Source organism: Homo sapiens, chromosome 12 (assembly GCF_000001405.40).
Source record: "Homo sapiens chromosome 12, GRCh38.p14 Primary Assembly".
NCBI classification, from domain to species: Eukaryota; Metazoa; Chordata; class Mammalia; order Primates; family Hominidae; genus Homo; species Homo sapiens.
In genome coordinates, this window is record NC_000012.12 from 70,293,008 (window position 1) to 70,316,671 (window position 23,664).

Below are 23,664 nucleotides of genomic sequence, written 5' to 3' on the forward strand. Positions count from 1 at the left end.
ATATCTATTTATGCTATTGAACAGATGTCTTAAATAAGCTTCTATTTTTATTAGTTTTAGTATTTGTAATAGAGTTTATTTTTCTTTGAAAATAACTCACTTTTTATATTTTCAAGGATTCAACATTTTTGTAAAAGTGAATTGATTTCATATCTTTTTTTTTTTTTTTTGAGATAGAGTTTTGCTCTTATCACCCAGGCTGGAGTGCAGTGGCACGATCTAAACTCAATGCACCCTCTACCTCCTGGGTTCAAGAGATTCTCCTGCCTCCGCCTCCCGAGTAGCTGGGGTTACAGGCATGTGCCACCATGCCCGGCTAATTTTGTATTTTTAATAGAGAAGGGTTTCTCCATGTTGGTCAGGCTGGTCTCAAACTCCCGACCTCAGGTGATCTGCCCGCCTCAGCCTCCCAAAGTGCTGGGATTACAGGCATGAGCCACTGTGTCTGGCCTGGATTTCATATCTTATTTAAATCCTATATTCAGATTGTTTTGTTTTAAAATCTTAAAATTTTTCTCTTTATTATCTTGTTTGGTTAAAGTGCCAGGTTTTTTTTGATGGAGGGGTCCTTATTTGTTTTTATCAGCATGGAGCAGTTAAGAAATTCACTTTTTCCCAAGGATTGTACTTATATCAGAGTTATGTGTAGGTTTTAAAAGTTCACTGGTCCACCTTTACGAATTTTAAGTACATCCATATAGTACAACTTTAATTCTGCTTGTTGATGGTGTTAATGTGTATGAGAGCCTTAGATTTAATGTTGAGTACTCAAGAGAGCAAGAGAGTGTACAAGGAGTGGATAGGCACAAAGTATTTGAACACACTGTCTTACATGTTTTCATAATGGCCAGGTAAGCTCTGTCTTTGCATTTTCTGGAAAAGTGTGCAAGTTTGTGGTGAGCACTGCTTTTTTTTTTTTTTTTTTTTTTTTTTAAACTTAGTACTTTGAATTAGTCTGAAAGATGAATCTGGGTTTGGCCAGTAATGAAGAGGTGAACAGGGAGTCATAATGTTGAAACTGGACATTCAGATCTTTATAGCATGATTTCCTTATTTTTCAAAGAGCGGAAGAATCCCATCGTTTATCATGTTCTGGTTGGACTTTCTTACTGTTTGCTGGAGTTGAACTTCAGAGCTATGGCGTCAACCCTGCTGTAATATCTCAGGGGAGCTCCTAGGGTGGGGCTGGTGCCATGGCTCACCCTCCAACCTTTCCTTCTTCACTTCAGCCTCCAGCTCTGAGCTTTCCAATCCCCAGAGTAGCAAATGTTGAAAGAAGTTGCACAGGTAAGTATGTGGTGGGGAAAGCCGGGGGAAAAATGGTACTGTCATCAGTATTTTGAGGGTGGATGTTGGGCCATTTTATCAATGAGTCATTTTGTTAGTTTAGAAATATAATGTTTGTTATCAATTATTTTTCTCATAAAACTCATAAATTATTTAAAAAATAGTGAAGAAATAATTTTAATTCTTGTTAGATGTGAAATAAGAAAAAAACCTTAATAAACTATTAATATTATAATGCAAAGGAAGGTTCTTACATTTTTTTAAACTTTATATTCTCCACAGTGTATATAGCAGGTCCAGAAAACCCATGTTCAAAAAAGAAGCTAAAAAAAAAGTTGGGGAAGGCCTAAGTCCATAGACTATAATTTTGCCATATGTAACTTGGTCTCAGGAGGAGGCAAGTTTTAGTTTTCTTCCACTAGCTTTAGATGTGCTATTTTTTCCTGAGGTATTAGGCAGGTAGCTATGTTTTAATCTTTACAGAAATAGAAATTTCAAACATCTTTTTCCTTGAAGTCTTGACAGGAGGACTGGAACATTTCTACCAATCTCTAGGTTTGAAGTTAACAAAAATAAGTATAGATATCTGGTACGTAATTCAGCAAATGTTTGTTGAACGAATGAATAAACTCATCAGATCCTGTGTCGTGTGTGTGTGTGTGAGAGAGAGAGAGAGATGCCAACACTCCTGGCATTTTCTCCTTGTCTGCCTTGCACTGGAAATCATGATCTAAACATCACAGATTTAATTTTGTAGGGATGTAGCTCTGGGTCTTCACTACCTTACTTTTGAGCTTCTTCTCAGAAAGCTTTCAAAACGTGTTTCTTTCGTTCTCCTACATCTATCCCATATAATTCATGTTCATTGATTTATAGATTTTTGCACATACAAGACATTCACATTAAACCCAAGAAAAACAGACTCTTAAGATGGCCCATGGTTGCTAAGTTTCTTCAGAGAAAGTATGTGAGGGTTAAAAGAGATTGGGGTTCTAGTGTATTTGGTATTTCAGGTCTCAAAACAAGTCATCAAAATACAGACTTCCCAGCAGTTTGTCTCCCTTTTTTTCTTGAGTTTTTTAGATAACTGGACGCTCTATATAAACACATCTCCCTCAGCAAAGTACATCCCGTTTTTTTCTCAATATGTATTCATATTCCCTTCCTTCCTCCCTCTTTATCAGACCCATCTTTGCCTACCGTCTTTTAAGGATTTAAAATATTCTCATTAGAAGATTTTCCTTCTGTATGCATAGAGGATTTGTTTTTATTCTAAATGTAGAGATTTTCTACTGTTATATGTCCTTCCATTTGTATTTTATAGTTTTACATCCTAATATTTAAAGATAAAGTACTACTTTAATTTTAGGCTCTATTATGTGAGTTCTCAACTCCAACTTCTTACTGCTCATAAGAGGTACTAATTATATTTAGTTCTTTAGTATATGTGTACTTTTTTCCTATGGATTAGCACTTTTTGAATAATTAGAATTTTGGTTTTAGGATGATGCACTTAGCTTTTAAAGCTTATATATTAATTGTTCAAATGTGAATCTATATAAAGCATATTGGTGCAGCACATTTTAAGATTCTAGAAAACCACAAAATCTGTTTATTCATGTTGAAACATACAGAACATATTCTCCCTAGATCAGAGTCAAACTTGTGGAGGTATTTGTAGCATTTTGGTAACACTCCCTAGAGAATTTGTAGACTTTGGGGGTGCATATTAAGGGATAACATACATGGCTTTTCAGAATATTTTCTGAATAAAGCAGCTTCAGACACCAGATTTTAGTTTTTGGATTAGGAAAGAGTGATGTGTTTTTCCACCCTCCCCTCCCCCACCAACACACACACACATACCCTCCCCATCTTTCAGATATAGGCCATCTTGTTTTATTGGATGAGCCCCCCAAAAATACACAGAAATATGCTAAATATTTCTGTAAACCTTGGAAAGGACTCTGCCAGGATATTTATCTACTCTCCAAAATAGTGATTGTGGAAGTGTTTGTATAGGTCCCTAGCTTTCTACTAAAGCCTATTTCCAACCAGTCATAGATTTTTGTGTGTGTGTGTATCTACATGTTAACTATCTTTGGTATTCATTGAGGCCTTTTTTGCTTATTTATGGTTATTCTGCATTGGCTAAAACAATGAGTTGCTCTTATTTGTTTCCATGCTATCGATTTGATGATTTGTAATTCTAGACTTTAAAATTTATCTATATCTTCACTTTTCTTAGATCCATCCTAAGCAGATTCATGAACTTTTCATTATACCTATATCATATTAAAAATATGAAACCATAGTATTCTAGAACTCGGAGGACTTGAATTTGTTTCTCACATGAAGAGTTTTTTTTTTTTTGGTAAAGATTTCCAGGTATTAATATCTTTGTTCTTTAAGAAGCTAGAATTTTTTTGTGCAGTGTAGGTGCCTTTCTGTCCTTTATTTAAGCCCCCCCCCCTTTTTAAATTGTTTTTCAAGAATTAAATAAAATTAGAATTATTTATAGTAGTTGCGAAGCAGGATAAGCAGTTTAAAATCCTATCACAAAAAATACTACTGAAACAAAAATATCTTTGTTAACAAATATTTCCAGGTTGTAACAATATAATATTTGATATACGAATATTCTACTTCCATAGAATTTGGGCAGTCTGTGAGATTTTTACCTATCATGTTTTCCCTCTAAAGGGCAATTATAAAAACGCTAGATTATCTTCAGGTATTAGGACTCCTCATCATTGGTTTCAGATGTTAATTGGCTACACCTTGATAAAAGGCAGATAAGTGTTAATGGCAGTTGGCTGTGATTTTATATTAAGTTTCTGCCTATTTTATAGCCAAGAACTTGTGCATATTTGTATATTGTTTGTTGATATTGAATATGGAATTCAGAGAGAAAATAAGAACTCAAATTCTAAATTACTCAGATCTCCATTAGGAAAACAGTGCCTGAGAAACACTTTTTCCCCCTTCTCAGGTACTGTATATCTTGCAGTTAGCAGTCTTCATCTTGTATAATGCAAGCAGACTACAAACTCTGTAGCTGGGAGTGAAAATTTGTTACTCAGTATGAAGCAGTGAATGAGACAATTGATTTTATCGTGTGACACCTGTACCAACATGTTAGCAGTAAAACTCCTCCCTACATTAGAGAATCTACAATAAAAAGTTGCTACTAGGGAATTGTTTTTGTTTTAACACAAGTTCTAGATGTGCCCTACATATGTAATGCTATAATGTCTACATTAGAGCTATTATAATGAAATTAAGAGTTTGGTTATAATTATCCTAATTCCTTGAAAGGTTAAATTGTGTTCACTATACTTAAGTACCTAAAAATGTTAGTTCTTTGGGAACATGGAAACCAGGTATATATAGCTTTTAGTAGTTATTTCTACTTATCTGAAGCCCTCCTTGGATAATAATTTTTTTTTGTTTTCATTTTTGAGACGTGGTCTCACTCTGTCACCCAGGCTGGACTGCAGTGGCGTCATCTTGGCTCACTGCAACCTCCGCCTCCCAAGTTCAAGTGATTCTCCTGCCTCGGCCTCCAAGTAGCTGGGACTACAGGTGCGTACCACCACGCCCAACTAATTTTTGTATTTTTAGTAGAGATGGGGTTTCGCCATGTTGGCCAGGCTGCTCTTGAATTCCTGACCTCAGGTGATCCACCCACCTCAACCTCTGGGAGTTGAGTGGGATTACAGGCGTGAACCACTGCACCTGGTGGATAATAATTTTTAATTGGTATAATAGTATTTCTTTTAAGCATAACTTCATTTTCAAATTAATGCAACTTTCTGTAAAATACATGTGATTAGTCTTGTAGAGACTGGCTTTTGTCTCACATGTCTATAATCAGTCATAATCAGTCCATTCTTGTTCTTGTGCTAAAGTGATCTTTTTGACACACATAAATATTCGATTGTGGTATACCCTACTTACCATTGTTCACAATATAAGGACCTTCCTCCTCCAATCGGCTTTTTATTTGCTCCTTACTGCTTTTCCCTTTACAAATTCAAGAACAAAACACACATTAAATTGTTAGTTGTATATTTGAGAGTCAGTGTACTATCATGGTTAAAAAGGGGGACTCCAGCAAATTGGTCTGGGTTCAAAACCCATCTCCGCATTTATCAGATATATAACCTTAGGAAGTTAACCTAACTTCTCTGGTCCTTAGCTACAAAATAGGGATAGTTAATTGTTCTTACTTTCTAGCGTTATCTTGATAATTACATAAATAAATTTTAAAGCATTTAGAATATTCCCTGGCACAATAATTTATTATTATTTTATAGTTATGATAAAGTGTTTTCAGAGACTGTATAAAACAAGAGTCCTAATTTAGTGTGAAAGTTTCAAAGAATGGGAGAAAGGGCATTTTAAGTAGCCGTATCAGCATATGCAAAGACCGGGACATGGAAACTAACTTCTGTTCTGAGTAACTGAAGGTATGGCAAGGGTTTGGTGGTGTCAGGGGACTTAGGAGAGAAGTTAGAGGTTACAAAACATCTTATAAGCCTTATTGATTTGGGAGTGCTGTTGAGGAATTTTTATCAGAAAGTCCATGAAGATAAATAATTTTTACTTTAAAAAATCACTTTGATGTGGGAGAGTAGAATTGAGGGGAAGAAGAATAGATTAATAAAGACCTGTTTGGAGGCTATTGGAGTGGCTTGTTCTAGTGTATTATTAGTCCGTTCTCATGCTAACAAAGACGTACCCGAGACTGGGTAGTTTATAAGGGAAAGAGGTTTAATTGACTCACATGGCTGGGGAGGTCTCACAATCGTGGCAGAAGGCAAATGAGGAGCAGTCACGTCTCACATGGCGGCAGGCAAGAGTGAATGTGTGCAGGGGAACCCCCCTGTATAAACCACCAGATCTCATGAGACTTATTTTTTTTTTAATTTTATTATTATTATACTTTAAGTTTTAAGGTACATGTGCACAACGTGCAGGTTTGTTACATATGTATACATGGGCCATGTTGGTGTGCTGCACCCATTAACTTGTCATTTAGCATTAGGTATAGCTGCTAATGCTGTCCCTCCCCCCTCCCCCCACCCCCCAACAGTCCCCGGTGTGTGATGTTCCCCTTCCTGTGTCCATGTGTTCTCATTGTTCAATTCCCACCTATGAGTGAGAACATGCGGTGTTTGGTTTTTTGTCCTTGCGATAGTTTGCTGAGAATAATGGTTTCCAGCTTCATCCACGTCCCTACAAAGGACATGAACTCATCCTTTTTTATGACTGCATAGTATTCCATGGTGTATATGTGCCACATTTTCTTAATCCAGTCTATCATTGTTGGACCTTTCGGTTGGTTCCAAGTCTTTGCTATTGTGAATAGTGCTGCAGTAAACATAAGTGTGCATGTGTCTTTATAGTAGCATGATTTATAATCCTTTGGGTATATACCCAGTAATGGGATGGCTGGGTCAAATGGTATTTCTAGTTCTAGATCCCTGAGGAATCGCCACACTGACTTCCACAATGGTTGAACTAGTTTACAGTCCCACCAGCAGTGTAAAAGTGTTCCTATTTCTCCACATCCTCTCTAGCACCTGTTGTTTCCTGACTTTTTAATGATTGCCATTCTAACTGTTGTGAGATGGTATCTCATTGTGGTTTTGATTTGCATTTCTCTAATGGCCAGTGATGATGAGCATTTTTTCATGTGTTTTTTTGGCTGCATAAATGTCTTCTTTTGAGAAGTGTCTGTTCATGTCCTTTGCCCACTTTTTGATGGGGTTGTTTTTTCTTGTAAATTTGTTGGAGTTCATTGTAGATTCTGGATATTAGCCCTTTGTCAGATGAGTAGATTGCAGAAATTTTCTCCCATTCTGTAGAAGCCTGTTCACTCTGATGGTCGTTTCTTTTGCTGTGCAGAAGCTCTTTAGTTTAATTAGATCCCATTTGTCAATTTTGGCTTTTGTTGCCATTGCTTTTGGTGTTTTAGACATGAAGTCCTTGCCCATGCCTATGTCCTGAATGGTATTGCCTAGGTTTTCTTCTAGAGTTTTTATGGTTTTAGGTCTAACATTTAAGTCTTTAATCTATCTTGAATTAATTTTTGTATAAGGTGTAAGGAAGTGATCCAGTTTCAGCTTTCTACATATGGCTAGCCAGTTTTCCCAGCACCATTTATTAAATAGGCAATCCTTTCCCCATTGCTTGTTTTTGTCAGGTTTGTCAAAGATCAGATGGTTGTAGATATGTGGCGTTATTTCTGAGGGCTCTGTTCTGTTCCATTGGTCTGTATCTCTGTTTTGATACCAGTACCATGCTGTTTTGGTTACTGTAGCCTTGTAGTATAGTTTGAAGTCAGGTAGCGTGATGCCTCCAGCTTTGTTCTTTTGGCTTAGGATTGACTTGGCAATGAGGGCCCTTTTTTGGTGCCATATGAACTTTAAAGTAGTTTTTTCCAATTCTGTGAAGAAAGTCGTTGGTAGCTTGATGGGGATGGCATTGAATCTATAAATTACCTTGGGCAGTATGGCCATTTTCACGATATTGATTCTTCCTACGTATGAGCATGGAATGTTCTTCCATTTGTTTGTATCCTCTTTTATTTCATTGAGCAGTGGTTTGTAGTTCTCCTTGAAGAGGTCCTTCACATCCCTTGTAAGTTGGATTCCTAGGTATTTTATTCTCTTTGAAGCAATTGTGAATGGGAGTTCTTTCATGATTTGGCTCTCTGTTTGTCTGTTATTGGTGTATAAGAATGCTTGTGATTTTTGCACATTGATCTTGTATCCCGAGACTTTGCTGAAGTTGATTATCAGCTTAAGGAGATTTTGGGCTGAGATGCTGGAGTTTTCTAGATATACAGTCATGTCACCTGCAAACAGGGTCAATTTGACTTCCTCTTTTCCTAATTGAATGCCCTTTATTTCCTTCTCCTGCCTGATTGCCCTGGCCAGAACTTCCAACACTGTGTTGAATAGGAGTGGTGAGAGAGGGCATCCTTCTCTTGTGCCAGTTTTCAAAGGGAATGCTTCCAGTTTTTGTACATTCACTGTGATACTGGCTGTGGGTTTGTCATAGATAGCTCTTATTATTTTGAGATATGTCCCATCAATACCTAATTTATTGAGAGTTTTTAGCATGAAGAGCTGTTGAATTTTGTCAAAGGCCTTTTCTGCATCTATTGAGATAATCATGCCGTTTTTTTTCTTTGGTTCTGTTTATATGCTGGACTACGTTTATTGATTTTCTTATGTTGAACCAGCCTTGCATCCCAGGGATGAAGCCCACTTGATCATGGTGGATAAGCTTTTTGATGTGCTGCTGGATTCGGTTTGCCTGTATTTTATTGAGGATTTTTGCATCAATGTTTATCAAGGATATTGGTCTAAAATTCTTTTTTTGTTGTGTCTCTGCCAGGCTTTGGTATCAGGATGATGCTGGCCTCATAAAATGAATTAGGGAGGATTCCCTCTTTTTCTATTTATTGGAATAGTTTCAGAAGGAATGGTACCAGCTCCTCCTTGTACCTCTGGTAGAATTCGGCTGTGAATCCATCTGGTCCTGGATTTTTTTGGTTGGTAAGCTATTAATTATTGCCTCCATTTCAGAGCCTGTTATTGGTCTATTCAGAGATTCAATTTCTTCCTGGTTTAGTCTTGGGAGGGTGTATGTGTCAAGGAATTTATCCATTTCCTCTAGATTTTCTAGTTTATTTGTGTAGAGGTGTTTATAGTATTCTCTGATGGTGGTATGTATTTCTGTGGGATCAGTGGTGATATCCCCTTTGGCATTTTTTATTGCATCTATTTGATTCTTCTCTCTTCTTTATTAATCTTGCTAGCGGTCTATCAATTTTGTTGATCCTTTCAAAAAACCAGCTCCTGGATTCATTAATTTTTTTGAAGGGTTTTTTGTGTCTCTATTTCCTTCAGTTCTGCTCTGATTTTAGTTATTTCTTGCCTTCTGCTAGCTTTTGAATGTGTTTGCTCTTGCTTCTCTAGTTCTTTTAATTGTGATGTTAGGGTGTCAATTTTAGATCTTTCCTGCTTTCTCTTGTGGGCATTTAGTGCTATAAATTTCCCTCTACACACTGCTTTGAATGTGTCCCAGAGATTCTGGTATGTTGTGTCTTTGTTCTCGTTGGTTTCAAAGAACATCTTTATTTCTGCCTTCATTTCGTTATGTACCCAGTAGTCATTCAGGAGCAGGTTGTTCAGTTTCCATGTAGTTGAGAGGTTTTGAGTGAGTTTCTTAATCCCGAGTTCTAGTTTGATTGCACTGTGGTCTGAGAGACAGTTTGTTATAATTTCTGATCTTTTACATTTGCTGAGGAGTGCTTTACTTCCAACTATGTGGTCAACTTTGGAATAGGTGTGGTGTGGTGCTGAAAAGAATGTATATTCTGTTGATTTGGGGTGGAGAGTTCTGTAGATGTCTATTAGGTCCACTTGGTGCAGAGCTGAGTTCAATTCCTGGATATCCTTGTTAACTTTCTGTCTCGTTGATCTGTCTAATGTTGACAGTGGGGTGTTAAAGTCTCCCATTATTATTGTGTGGGAGTCTAAGTCTCTTTGTAGGTCACTAAGGACTTGCTTTATGAATTTGGGTGCTCCTGTATTGGGTGTATATATATTTAGGATAGTTAGTTCTTCTTGTTGAATTGATCCCTTTACCATTGTGTAATGGCCTTCTTTGTCTCTTTTGATCTTTGTTGGTTTAAAGTCTGTTTTATCAGAGACTAGGATTGCAACCCCTGCCTTTTTTTGTTTTCCATTTGCTTGGTAGATCTTCCTCCATCCCTTTATTTTGAGCCTATGTGTGTCTCTGCACATGAGATGGGTTTCCTGAATACAGCACACTGATGGGTCTTGACTCTTTATCCAATTTGCCAGTCTGTGCCTTTTAATTGGAGCATATAGCCCGTTCACATTTAAGGTTAGTATTGTTATGTGTGAATTTGATCCTGTCATTATGATGTTAGCTGGTGATTTTGCTCGTTAGTTGATGCAGTTTCTTCCTAGCCTTGATGGTCTTTACAATTTGGCATGTTTTTGCAGTGGCTGGTACCGGTTGTTCCTTTCCGTGTTTAGTGCTTCCTTCATGAGCTATTTTAGGGCAGGCCTGGTGGTGACAAAATGTCTCAGCATTTGCTTGTCTGTAAAGTATTTTATTTCTCCTTCACTTACGAAGCTTAGTTTGGCTGGATATGAAATTCTGGGTTGAAAATTCTTTTCTTTAAGAATGTTGAATATTGGTCCCCACTCTCTTCTGGCTTGTAGAGTTTCTGCCGAGAGATCAGCTTTTAGTCCGATGGGCTTCCCTTTGTGGGTAACCCGACCTTTCTCTCTGGATGCCCTTAACATTTTTTCCTTCATTTCAACTTTGGTGAATCTGACAATTATGTGTCTTGGCGTTGCTCTTCTCGAGGAGTATCTTTGTGGAGTCCTCTCTATTTCCTGAATGTGAATGTTGGCCTGCCTTGCCAGACTGGGGAAGTTCTCCTGGATAATATCCTCCAGAGTGTTTTCCAACTTGGTTCCATTCTCCCCGTCACTTTCAGGTACACCAAGTAGATTTGGTCTTTTCACATAGTCCCATATTTCTTGGAGACTTTGTTTATTTCTTTTTATTCTTTTTTCTCTAAACTTCTCGCTGCATTTCATTCATTTCGTCTTCCATCGCTGATACCCTTTCTTCCAGCTGATCTCATTGGCTACTGAGGCTTGTGCATTCGTCACGTTCTCGTGCCGTGGTTTTCAGCTCCATCAGGTCCTTTAAGGACTTCTCTGCATTGGTTATTCTAGTTATCCATTCGTCTAATTTTTTTTCAAGGTTTTTAACTTCTTTGCCATTGGTTCGAACTTCCTCCTTAGTTCGGAGTAGTTTGATCTTCTGAAGCCTTCTTGTCTCAACTCATCAAAGTCATTCTCGGTCCAGCTTTGTTCCGTTGCTGGTGAGGAGCTACATTCCTTTGGAGGAGGAGAGGCGCTCTGCTTTTTAGAGTTTCCAGTTTTTCTGCTCTGTTTTTTCCCCATCTTTGTGGTTTTATCTACCTTTGGTCTTTGATGATGGTGACGTACAGGTGGGTTTTTGGTGTGGATGTCCTTTCTGTTTGTTAGTTTTCCTTCTAACAGCCAGGACCCTCAGCTGCAGGTCTGTTGGAGTTTGCTGGAGGTCCACTCCAGACCCTGTTTGCCTGGGTATCAGCAGCGGTGGCTGCAGAAGAGCAGATATTGGTGAACCACAAATGCTGCTGCCTGATCATTCCTCTGGAAGTTTTGTCTCAGGAGTATCTGGCCGTGTGGGGTGTCAGTCCGCCCCTACTGGGGGGTCAGGGACCCACTTGTGGAGGCAGTCTGCCCGTTCTCACATCTCAAGCTGTGTGCTGGTAGAACCACTACTCTCTTCATAGCAGTCAGACAGGGACATTTAAGTCTGCAGAGGTTACTGCTGCCTTTTGTTTGTCTGTGCCCTGCCCCCAGAGGTGGAGCCTACAGAGGCAGGCAGGCCTCCTTGAGCTGTGGTGGGCTCCACCCAGTTCGAGCTTCCTGGCTGCTTTGTTTACCTACTCAAGCCTTGGCAATGGCGGGCACCCCTCCCCCAGCCTGGCTGCTGCCTTGCAGTTTGATCTCAGACTGCTGTGCTAGCAATGAGCCGGGCTCCGTGGGCGTAGGACCCTCTGAGCCAGGTGCGGGATATAATCTGGTGTGCCTTTTGTTAAACCTGTTGGAAAAGTGCAGTATTAGGGTGGGAGTGACCCGATTTTCCAGGTGCCATTCGTCACCCCTTTCTTTGACTAGGAAAGGGAATTCCCTGACCCCTTGGGCTTCCCGGGTGAGGCGATGCCCCGCCCTGTTTCGGCTCACGCATGGTGCGCCGCACCCACTGTCCCGCACCCACTGTCCGGCACTGCCCAGTGAGATGAACCCGGTACCTCAGTTGGAAATGCAGAAATCACCCATCTTCTGCGACACTCATGCTGGGAGCTATAGACTGGAGCTGTTCCTATTCGGCCATCTTGGCTCCACCCTCATGAGACTTATTCACAATCATGAGAACAGCACAGGAAATACCCGCCTTCATGATTCAGTCACCTCCCACGGGGTTCCTTCTGCGACACGTGGGGATTATTACAGTTCAAGGTGATATTTGGGTTCAGACACAGAGCCAAACCATATCAGCTAGGAAATGACCGTAGAGATGAAAAGATATTGATGATATAAATAATTTCAATAAATATATAGGGTTGGTTTGATCAGCTTGAATTTTAATTGTTGAAGATCACAAAGGTTACAGACAGCATTTTTGAGAGTTAAAGTGACATTTTTCAGAGATTACCATGAACAGTAACAACTGTGAATAGCCAAAATTAAGCTGAAACATAAGATTTGTGTTGGGTTCTAAGATAGTTAGTGCTGCAAAGTCATGTTGAGGTGATGATCTCAGGGATTTTTAGGTGTATCCTCTGTGTATCTTCAGGCCTGCCTCTTACTTCGTTGGTTCCCTAATTGCCATTCATCCTGCCTGTATCAGGGACCACTTTACCCGTCTTCTCTGAAGTTCTTGGTTATTTTATCTGAAGTTTGTTTTTTTTTTTTTTTTTTTTTGGTAAATTTCTGTGATTATTCTGATTTACCACATTTGGCTTTGAAATACTGTATTTAAATGTTGAGAATGTCATGCCTTAGGAATTCATAGCTAGTCTAAACTAAATAATGAAGGAGGAATATACTGGGAAAATCCAGCCAACTTAAGTGGCTCCATTACGTCTTCCAGTTTAATTCTTTATTACTTTCTGAGACCAATTCCTTTTGGGGATTTGGTTTGGTACAGAGGATTAGCTTACTTATCTCTGTATTTTTAATTTAATTTTATTTTATTTTAAGACGTAGTCTCGTGGTGTCGGCCAGGCTAGAGTGCAGTGGCATGATGATCTTGGCTCACTGCAACCTCCACCTCCTGGGTTCAAGCAGTTCTCCCACCTCAGCCTCCTGAGTAGCTGGGATTACAGGTGCATGCCACCATGCCTGGCTAATTTTTTGTATTTTTAGTAGAGACAGGGTTTCACGTTGTTGGCCAGGCTGGTCTTGAACTCCTGACCTCAAGTGATCTGCCTGCCTTGGCCTCCCAAAGTGCTGGCATTGTAGGCATGAGCCACCATTCCTGACCTCTGTTTACTTTTTAGAATATGCTGCTTAGTTCTTATGAAATCAAAGGAAAGATTAAATGTCTTGATTAAACGTTTTAGATCTGTGTTCAAAAAAGGTTTAAGAAACATTGGTTTTGCTACATGCATATATTCTTTCCTGGTAAAAAAAAATCTCAATTTGTCTTAGAAAGTCTGGTGTGAGTGTCAAGTAAAAAGGTGGTCACTTAACAAAGTATATATAAGCCCTTGACTTGTTTGCTTGAATAAAGCTGACAAATTGTACACACCAAAGATTCTAATGCTGTATATCCAAGATGAAGTCTGATTTAATTTTAAACTACAGCCATAGTTTAAACTACAGCCATAACAATGGGAGTACATTCTGAGAAATGCGTCAGGCACTTTTGTGAATGTGGACCATACTTAAACAAACCTGGATGATATAACCTCTTGCTCCTAGGCTATAAACATGTACAGCATATTGCTATACGAATTCTGTAGGCAGTTGTAACACATTGGTATTTGTGTATTTAAACATACCTAAACACAGAAAGGGTACAGTGAAAATAAGATACAAAACATTTTTTTAAAAAGGTTACACCTTTATAGGGCACTTATCATAAACGGAGCTTGCAGAACTGGAAGTTGTTCTGGGTAATTCAGTAAGTGGTGTGTGAATGTAAAGGCTTAGGACATTACAGTATACTACTGTGGACATTGGAAACACTGTACACTTAGGCTACACTAAATTTATTTAAAAATTTTCATTCTCGAATAATGAGTTAACCTTAGCTTACCGTAACTTTTTTACTTTATAACCTTTTTAATTTTTTAAAATCTTTTGGACTCTTTAATACTTGACTTAAACACGTACAGCTGTACAAAAATATTTTCTTCCCTTATATTCATACTTAGCTTTTTTCTATTTGAATTTTTTTGTTTTTTTACTTTTTAGATGTTTTTGTTTTGTTGAAAACTGATACACACACTCATGTATTTGCTTAGGTCTATCAAGGCATCACTAGGCAATAGGAATTTTTCAGCTTGTTTATAATCTTACGGGACCACCGTTGTATATATGGTCCATCATTGACTGAAATGTCATGCTGCACATGACTGTCGTTTATTAAAATTTTTATTTACCAAATTAACTTTTTAACATACGTTGTAACCAGTAATTTCAATGTATTTCGATATAATTGACATATCCTCTTTGAAATTTATAGAAATTGATTTTTATGTACCCTAATTTCTCTTTCAGGGAGAAGATGGGTATAGTTTAACCCTTTCATATCATCCATCCATCCATTCCTACTAGTTCTGCCTCAGAGTATATCCTTTATTCAACTACTACTCACCACCCTATTAGGCCATCATTATCTATCACTGGCCTCCTAATGCATTTTCCTGCTTTCGTTTTATACCCTCTTTAGCCCATTCCTCATGGAGTAGCTAGGACCTTTAAAAAAAAAAAAAAGCCAAATTAAGTTACTCTTAAGCTTCGCCTAAATCCTCTCTTGATTTCCCGTCTAACAAAGAATAAAATCCAAAGTCTCTCAGGCTCTCGAGGTGTACTATATGGTCTAGCCCCAACCAGTCTCTCTGACATGAGTTCCTACCCTTCACCACCTAAGTTCATGCTGCCTGAGCCATACCAGTGAGGGGTTTACTGACCCTCTGAACTGACTGCTTTTCCTTCAAGCATTTGCCTGGTCAGTTACTTCTCTGCTTGTTTTCATCTCAGTTTTATGTTCCCTGATTATTTTTAAATACTTCCTACCCTGTTCCATCATTCTATGTAGAATAAAGGACGGGCACTTTAAAATTAAATAAATCTAGCTTTATGAAAAACCTGTGTTGTCTTTTTCTCTTGTGATTTTGCCATGGATTAGAATTGTCTCATACCAGCACCCATCTCTGGATGGGGGTTTGCATTCATGGGGGAGAGTAAAACACCCTTACCTCTCCCTCCCTCCATCTGTCTTTCTCTCTGTCTCACTCTCGTTTTGTTTTTTAATTATTTGCTGAAGTCATGTAAGAATAATTAGTATTGTCACTGATGTGTAATTTCTGTGCCAGAGCACACAAAACAGAAATTAAGCTTAAGTTTGGTATATTTTCTCTCTCTCTCTCTCTCTCTCTCTCTCTCACACACACACACACACACACACAGTGACTCTTGAGAAAATCTGGTATTGATGGAAAAGGAACATTTCTTCATTTTCTTTCGTCTGGAACATATGTTTAATTTTGCCTTCAAACCAAACCTTTTTGCAAGATATTAAGCATAAAAATTTTAATTCTATACAATTAATTTCAATTTTAGAATTCTAGGAGTCTATAATGGTCTTGATGATAAGTGTTATACAAACAGTGTCAAAAGAAGAGTTTATCAATTTGAGCTTATTTATGTGTATAAAATTTGATGAGAGATGCCTTGATATTCACCTGAAACTTTATTGAATAATTATTGAATTATGCATTTTCCATGTTTATTCTTTCTTAGAATTAGAGCTCAATAGTAAGAGTTCTATAAAGATAATTAAATGTATCTTTAACTTTCAAAAAACAAACTTCTAAAATCTTATGTGTAGTGAATCTTAATTTGCAAGCTCTAAAGTGATTTTTTGCCACTGTTTCCTTTTTGAAATTACTCACTAAGAAACATCTGTTTTCCCCCTAGTAGGGACTACTTAGGGAGCTGGTGGATAGGCATGCGGGATCCTGGTCTGAAATAACAGAGTTACAGAATAGCATTCTGAGATTCACCAGGAGTCTGTTTCCCAAAAAAAGATTAAGTACCTGTGTTCTAATAAATTGTTAGACCCTTAAAAAATATCTTTGTATATTTCACACCTCAAGCGATTACTTGCCTAAAAGCATATAGCAAAGTAATAGGTTAGCTGTCCTTAGACTTTATTTATACCTGACTGAATAGGTTTTCAGACCTCAGGAGGAAAGACAGTCAAATAATTAAGTTTCCTACATATTTAACAGGGAACTTAAAATATATAAGAAATATTAAACAGCATGGGTGCTTTCAACAGAGTTACACGTAAAGTTTGGCCTTCAAAGTCTGCAACATAGTTCACCACGTCTACTGATATGTAATAGTGACTACAGCATTTTTTGAAATGAGACATGGAAATTGTTCACTCATTTATAATGGAAGGAAATATTCTTAGTCATAATGAATGTACAAGACAGATATCAAATTTGAGATGAGTTTTCCCCAAAAATGTACTTGTGAAAAGACATAGTCACCTTGTATTCAAGTCTTTAAAATCTCTTTTCTCATTGACATTGGTTTACCTTGATTTTCAAAGTACTGTTAGGAGAAAGACACATTGACCTTAAATAACTTTAGTCAGTTAATAGTTTTGATAATTTTATAGAGGTCACATTTTAAAAATAATTAAAAATTAAAATTAGCACAGATTTTAATAATTACAGTTGGCCCTTCATACCCATGGGTTCTGCATCTGTGGGTCAACCAGCTGCAGATTGAAAATATTTGGGGAAAAATAATGGATGGTTGTGTCTGTACTGAACATGTACAGACTGTTTTTTCTTGTAATTATTCCCTGAGCAATACAGTGACTATTTATATAGCATTTACATTGTATTAGATATTATAAGTAATCTAGAGATGATTTAAAGTATATGAAAGGATGTGTGTAGGTTATATGCAAATATTATAAACCATTTTATGTGAGAGAATTGAGCATCCGTGGATTTTATTTTTTAATCCATGAGGGGAGAGGTCCTAGAACCATTTCTTCACAGATAGCAAGTGACAACAATTTATGTTGGTGTGAGCTCAAAATTGCTAATGTTGGATGTTACAAAGACTGGAAAAACAAATGAATAAGCAGGTTATATCATTGAAATAATAACTTTATACCAGTATGATCAATGAAAGATTGTACTTCAGTTACATGAGTGGGTACTTGCTTGAGATAAAATTCTAGTATGCCACTATATATGCACTGATTCAAAAAACGGTATATTTCAGTAAACTTAGATTGTAAGGAAAGATGAATGCTTGGGAAAACAGATAACTGAGAAAATAAGGTGATGACAGATACACAAATGTGGAAGATGCATGTGAAGATTTTGAATAATTAAACCTAAACTTAATTTTTAAAAAATCTATGTATGGGAAAATGATATTGGCCATTTTTGAAGAGTAAGGTATACTTAGTTTTTTAAAAGGAAATGGAATTGTTAAGATAGGCTTTATGTGATTCTCCTACTTTTAGGGTCTGGAAATAAACATCTAACACTTTATTGTTATAATCAGATTTATGACTTTATCACATGCGCCACTAGCCATTAGTTGATCAATTTCTGTATCTTAGCAATGCTCCCTTCATGTTCTGTTTTCCACATAGGAGTAAGGTAACACTGAACATTTTCCAAAGTATTACCCCTGATAAAAGTAATATTTTTGTTTAGGTGACAAACAGCATGTTTGGTGCTTCAAGAAAGAAGTTTGTAGAGGGGGTCGACAGTGACTACCATGACGAAAACATGTACTACAGCCAGTCTTCTATGTTTCCACATCGGTCAGAAAAAGATGTAAGTTAATCAATTATGTTGTATTTTTTCAGCAATGTAAGTCTGTGTCTGGGTTCCTGAAAAACAGCATATCAAGTGCAGAATACTGTCTGTGGTTGAGTGACAATCTTTTCAGCACAGTGCTAGTCCCTTTGGTGCTTGTATCCTTTTGGGATACAAAGACAATGAATTTGTATTCTAATGGGGAAAATAAATATCCCATGATTCTCAAATTGGGATATGGTAATACTGTGATAGAAGTACTCAAAGACATGGAGTAAACATGGTATAACTTCTAGATCACTGATTTTTTTTGTTTGTTCAATATGGGAAATAACTTGTTTGATATTAAAACAAATGCAGATATAGAACAGAAAGCAGATTTACGCAGACTTGAAGATATAATGGCAAGCTGTAATAAAACTTTATGCTTATTGTGTCATCTAGCTGTAATTCTGGACCTCAGGTGTATCTCTCCTCTGTTCAGCCATAGGGATACTATAATAGGAAAAATTTGGAAGAACTGTATTCAAAATGTGATGGATGATATAGAGATATGAATTAAATGCTTTGGAAGGCTAATAGTTCAATAATCCCATTTGGGATAAAAGGATTTAGAATGCAACCAAGTCATAATTAGCAAATTTATAAAATACTTAAAAATGAATGTAATTACTAAAATTCTGTTAAGCTACTTTAAATTATACAATGTACTCTCTAGTCACACCAGTTGCATTCTTATACTTTGTACACCTGCCCAGCTTTTTTTACCTTTCACACTTTATAAACTTGCTATGCCAAATCTCCTTATGTATAAAACAATCTACTCTAGCTATTAACCTAATGAGATTTATACTGATGTTTGAAGCATTTATAAAGTTCTAAGATATGGAACAAATGCCCTTGTTTTTCTTTGAAGTTGATCATTAGTAAATCACTTCCTTTGACTTTGCAGAATTTTGCAAATCAGCTTAACCTACTAGGTTTATGTTAGGATGTTTGTTATTCTGTTTTTGTATTTTCCTTTTTTATTTTGATTTGAACATTCTTGTGTCATTTTGAAAACAAACTATCAATGGCATTATTGGGCTTTTTTCAACTAATGTGTGTTGTGGCTTTGTTGATAATTAGTGTGTAGTTTAATAGCTTATGGAATAATGTCATCTAATTTTCTGTTATCTTATTGCGCTTTTAGCTATGTGCTATGTAACTTATAATTGAATTATTATTTACACAGGTTTCTATTTAAGTATTGACCTTGTAAATAAAGAATTTGGGATATATTTTTGGTAGTATCGCCGCAGAAACGAAAACCTACAATTTGTGTGTATTGCTGTGATTATATAATGAAAGTTAAGTTTGCTTGGAAAATGTTAATGAAATATTTATTACTGATGAAATGCATTTATTCTAATTAGGAAGATAGGAAGCTTTCAGACTGAAATCTAAAAGTATATAAAGAGAATGAATGACAAAGAGATATATGTCTTCTCAAAAGCAGAAATACTATATGTCTACATTTTAAAATCAGAATTAGTATATATACTTACACACATACTCACAAATGTTGGCCACCATTCTGATCCAGCTGGTTGGCACAGAAGTAACAGAATGGTTTGATTCACAAAACCTTTTTTAAAAAAACATTAATTAAGAACATAGTATGGCATAGGAATTAAGAACTTGGACTCTAAAGCAATACAAATATGTGTGTTTGGATCCTGACTTTGCCTGTTAGCAAGAACTTCTCCAAGTCTCAGTTTCCTTTTCTGTAAAAATAGGAGTAATAATATATTGGCTACCTTATACATTGGCTGCTGTTGCTGTTACTTTTTTAAAATTACAAAATAGCACAGGTAAATTATACAAATTTTTAAAAATACACTTGAAGAAAAATTACCTATAATGCTATCAGAAATAATTGCTAAAATTCTAATTTTATGCTTTAAATATTTTTATTGAAAAATACACAATTATTTAAATCTTCTAGGTCATACAGACATATTTTCCATCAAAAAGTTTGTACCAGTTTTTACTGTAATCACCACTCTCCATGCCAACAAGAATACCAGCAATTACATTTAAGTCTTTGCTAATAGACAAGCTTATTGTTTTCATGTACATACAGTAAAACATCATTAATTTTACACACACACAGTGTGATGGGTCTTTTCCATATAGTTATTGGTCATTTGTATTTCTTCCTTTGTGTACCTTTTTTGTGTCATTTTCTATTTCTCTATTGAGATCTTAAGTCTTACTAGTTTGCATTCTCCATGTATTGAGGATAACAACCTCTTGTCATTCATTACAAATATTTTCCCAGTTTTTCACCTTTAATTCTTGGTATATGTAGTATACGTATATTTGTCATTTTAATTAAATGTGATCCATCAGTCTTATTTTTAAATGGCTTCTGTTTTCGAGATCATACTTAGGAAGACATTTCCCAATTACTTTCTTATAATACTTTTATGTTTTGTTCTTCACATATAATTTATGTCCATTAGAAATGTGTTTTGGTTTAACCTGTGAATTGTAGGGTTCCAAATACTTTTTTTTTCTACAAGCTTATCCAATTGCACCGACACCATTTATGCTTTAAATCACGGGTCAGAAAACTTTCCCTTAAAGAACCAGATAGTAACTATTTTAGGCTTTGTGGACCAAGAAGCAAAATCAAGGATATATATAAAATCAAAACCTATTTTGTATAATAGGCCTTTATATAACCATCTGTAATGTAAAAACTTTCTTAGTTCATGTATCTTACAAAAACAGGCAGTGTGCTGGATTTGTCCTGCAGGAAATAATTTGCCCACCCCTGGGTTAGATCATTAATTTATGGCTAATTAAAATATCCCTTTATTATATGTGCTAGTGTCTCATACATTCTTGGGCCTGTTTCTAAGATCTTGTTCTGTTTACCATACTGATCCTGTGTCAGAACTACAACATAATTGAATTGCCATAGCTTTGTAGACCACTTTAACATCTTGGGTAAGAATCTTTGACATCCTTTGTTTTAAAAAAATGGTTTTTGATTGTTGCACATTAATATCAATATAGATGGTTTTTCGGAAGGATATTTCTCCCTTTAATCTTGTTCTTTATGCGTTTTAATAGGGTTTTGCAGTTGCCATTTTCATTGCATTTTTCAGATTGGTTTTTACTGACCTATGGAATACTTTGTGTAGTTATTTTATAACAAACTGCCATGTAAAAGTCTTCTATTAGTTTTTGGTGATTGAGAATGTAAGCCCTGGAAATCCTACTATGTAAGTTTTTATGTCAGCTACCTGATTTGCTAGCTGTGTGTCTTAGGACATCAGTCTCTGTGTGTCTCAGTTTTCTCATCTGTAAAATAGGAACAATAGTACCTAGCTCATGAAGGATTTTTTTTTTTTAAGTGGGAGAATAGTTAGTGTTTGTGAGGGGGGCACTGAAGTGACTGCTGTAATTAAGACAGACTGTAGAAAATAGGTTAGCAATGAATATTGAAAACCTTTAAAATGTAAACATTCCTTGAGTCAGTCATATGTCTTTCCGTAAATTTGTACTTCAGCTGTAACCTGACATTCAGACAATATAATATAATGCCATACTTGTTTTTAACAAAAAATTTGAGGCTCAAGTGTTTAAGGAATTAAGTACATTGAGTATTACACTATTTTTCAAATGTTCCTTATGTAAGCTTAAGAATATTTTAATGAAAATTATTTGAAATACCTAGTAGATGCATATCATCAGTTACCTGATTTGTAAGCTACCCTGTTCTGTGACTTAATGACTATTTTATTTTACTGTCTGCCTCCTCCCTTGCCCCTTTTCTCTTTTGTTCTTGTTTGTTTGTTTGTTTGTTTGTTTGTTTTGGGGGATATTTTGAGACAGAATTTCGCTCTTGTTGCCCAGGCTGGAGTGTAATGGCACGATCTTGGCTCACAGCAACCTCCGCCTCCTGGGTTCAAGTGATTCTCCTGCTTCAGCCTTCTGAGTAGCTGGGATTACAGGCATGCATCACCACGCCCGGCTAATTTTTGTATTTTTAGTAGAAACGGGGTTTCTCCTTGTTGGTCAGGCCGGTCACGAACTCCTGACCTCAGGGGATCTGCCCTCCTCAGCCTCCCAAAGTGCTGGGATTACAGGTGTGAGCCACCGTGCCTGGCCTTGTTCTTTTTAATGTATTACCTTCTCATAGTTTTCTTTTTTTGTGCCTGTTTGCTAGATTTCATTAGTTTCATGTTTTAAGTTATCCGTTTTCCAATTTTAAAGGTTCTTTAGCTTCTGTCTAGATCTGGAACTCTTATGTGTGTGCATGCATATGCTTTCTTCCTTTTTCTTTGTCTCTTTTTCTCTTTGTAGATATGGTACAGTTAAAAAGTCATAATTCATTTGTGGTTTTTGTCCTGGAATAATAACATAGTGCTAGGAATTATATTATCACCATAATTTTGAGTATATTATACAGAGTCTTTTAAAAATAATATTTTAAAACTTAAATATCATTTTTTAATTGCTGTCATGGTCATGGAATTTTTATTTAACAAAATTTTGTTGTATTTCCTTGCAACAATTTGTGGATTTCTTTGACATTCTGTATATTAAAGGATAAAGAAGTTCTGTGAAGGGTTAGGGGAATAACCAGAATCACATTACTGTTTCTTCTAGTTGCTTCCTGGTTTTTATTGTTGTTGTTTGACTGCAGTGTGCATTGTAGATTTCTGAGAGATATGGAAGACCTGATTATTATGATGATTTTAGAGTGTGCTGTAACTTGTTGTTTTCAGCATTCTATTAATCTTTTTCTACCGTTTGCCACTCTTAAGAGCACAAGTTCTATGCCTTATTTTACCTGGAATTTGTGAAGATAAACTTTCTTTAGCCCCTTGGGCAAAAAGTTATATAAATTAAGGGTATTATTTAATACATTTCTCAAGAGTCTGAATGCCCCCTCTCACTCCTATTAATGAGAGTTCTGCAACTGAGGGGAAGATTAGATTATTAGCAGCTGCTGCTACCATTTATTGAGCACATACTATATGCCATATCTTATTTCATTTAACCTATACTTCAGCTCTGTGAGGTAGGTAGTTATTTTCATTTTATAGGAAGGAAACCAAGTATTGGTTGTTCCATAGGTAAGTGGCAGAACCAGGATTCAAACCCAGATTATTTCTGACTCCAAAACTAGACTCTTTTTACTTGTGCTGCATCCCCTACTGTAATGTGTTTCTTGATCTAAAGTTTTATATTTTTCTAAGAAATTTACCTTTATATTATTAACTTTCAGAATTTAAAAAATATATACATTTTGTTTTCTGCTAATAGTACTTACTGTTCTGTCAGAGTATATTTCTTGTGCATTTTCTATACTCATAAAAAGCATTTCTGTGACATTCACATTTCTTCACTGTGTATTAAATCCATTTTTAGCACCGATTTGTTTGATGAAATATTGCCTTCAGAATTTAAAAGTACAGGTTCTTAGGGATAGACTTTATAAGAAATTAGATATTTGCATTTTTGACACATTTTGAGGCAGTAATTTTAAGATATGTCTGTATAGCTGATCGATGCTTATTTTACATGAATGTGTTGAAGGTTACAAACTCTTAAATTTAACATTAAACTACTTTTATTATTCCTGTAAAGCTGTGTTTACTAACCACCTTCAT

General features: G+C 36.3%; 1 protein-coding gene across 24 annotated transcripts in view; it reads left to right on the forward strand.

Annotated features, from left to right (window-relative positions):
* Positions 1 to 23,664, forward strand: part of CNOT2 (CCR4-NOT transcription complex subunit 2) — a 111,976-nt gene that overhangs the window by 49,990 nt on the left and 38,322 nt on the right. For 13 of the 24 annotated variants that reach the window (NM_001199302.2, XM_006719433.5, XM_047428885.1 and 10 more), the window contains one exon: positions 17,888 to 18,010. The exons of 1 other annotated variant lie outside the window; for it this stretch is intronic. In NM_001199302.2, the coding sequence (NP_001186231.1) occupies positions 17,888 to 18,010 (123 nt within the window). Of the gene's footprint in view, positions 1 to 1,063; positions 1,288 to 4,751; positions 4,873 to 8,697; positions 8,859 to 14,690; positions 18,011 to 23,664 lie in introns of all 24 variants that reach the window. 10 more of the 24 variants (NR_037615.2, NM_001414655.1, NM_001414653.1 and 7 more) reach the window with 5 other exon arrangements.